This window comes from Homo sapiens, chromosome 3 (assembly GCF_000001405.40).
Source record: "Homo sapiens chromosome 3, GRCh38.p14 Primary Assembly".
Taxonomy (NCBI): Eukaryota; Metazoa; Chordata; class Mammalia; order Primates; family Hominidae; genus Homo; species Homo sapiens.
The window spans coordinates 127,107,234-127,108,342 of record NC_000003.12 but is presented as its reverse complement, the minus strand read 5'-3'; the positions used below and the strand labels follow the sequence as shown (position 1 = coordinate 127,108,342).

The 1,109-nt window shown below is 55.6% G+C and overlaps 1 annotated feature.

Moving 5' to 3' along the window:
* Positions 262 to 762: an enhancer, noted in NCBI's record as "H3K4me1 hESC enhancer chr3:126826424-126826924 (GRCh37/hg19 assembly coordinates)". NCBI's record gives its function as "activates a minimal SCP1, AML or CMV promoter by ChIP-STARR-seq in primed H9 embryonic stem cells {active_cell/tissue: H9 hESC(primed)}" and the evidence as "EXISTENCE:reporter gene assay evidence [ECO:0000049][PMID:30033119]".

Below are 1,109 nucleotides of genomic sequence, written 5' to 3'. Positions count from 1 at the left end.
TTTTCTAACTTCTCCAGAAACAGAAAGTCCTGGAAAAACTGAGCCCACATTTCCCCATGAAAGCATCGGCCTCAGCTGGGCAGCTACTGCCCCTCTGCGGGCCATACTCTCCCTTTCAGCCCAGCCCCCGCTGCTCACTGCTGTCTGGAACCAGCCTGCTTCACTGGTCCCCGCCAGCCCCCATGGGCATGTGAGGTGGGGCTTCCTGCTGAAATCAAAAGATGGATGACAGACCCAGTAGCTCTGCTACTTCCCACTCATCATTTCAACCCCCTCTGGAAACACTCACATGTAGACCAACCCAGGTGGAACATGAGACACCTGCGAAAACGTGAGTTGCAGGAGAAAGTGTGAGCCCAGAATCCAGCCTCAAAGGCATCAGGAAAAGGCCCAGGAGCCAGGGATGGCCCAGGATCTCCACTCCATTTGCCTCTGCTTGGGCGCACCTCTTGCGGACACATTCACCTGCCTCTAAGGCACAAGCCAGGTCATCGCCCTGCAGGGAAACCTCTTCCTCTCCTGTCACTGTCCAGAGCCATCCTTTCTCCACCTCTGGCTGAGCAGGTCTGGGAGGTGGGAGTGCATGGGGTGACAAGGGGCTTTCTCCACCCAGTGCACTCTGTGTAGAAGGCCCACAGACAGCTGTCACTTCATCAAAAGCCTCACACCTCTCCTTCCATGGACCCAACCCCATTTTCTCCCACAAACAGCCCCTGCTCACCCAAGACCCTGGGCAGGCAGCGGCATGGGACCCTACCCTCCTGGAAGGTGGAGGCTGCTGTTATTAGTGAGTGTGCAAGGGACTTTTCTGCTGGAAAGGGTGCCAGGCCCAGTTGACTTAAGCCCAAGCCTCCTGACCCCAGACCCTTCCCAACTGAAGTCCCCTCACCCACTGGCTGACAGCCTGCGGGTCAACAAAAGGTTTGAGAATTATCCCCTGACAGTACCTTCAGCTTCACAGACACATTACAGAGCAACAGGGAGAGCCTCCTCGTGTGCAGATTTCATGATTTCTCACCCTTGTTGATGACAATCTCATTTAACCCTCACAACAGCCCTGGACGACAGGCACAACCATTACCCTCATCGGCAGATGAAGCTGGGCCTCA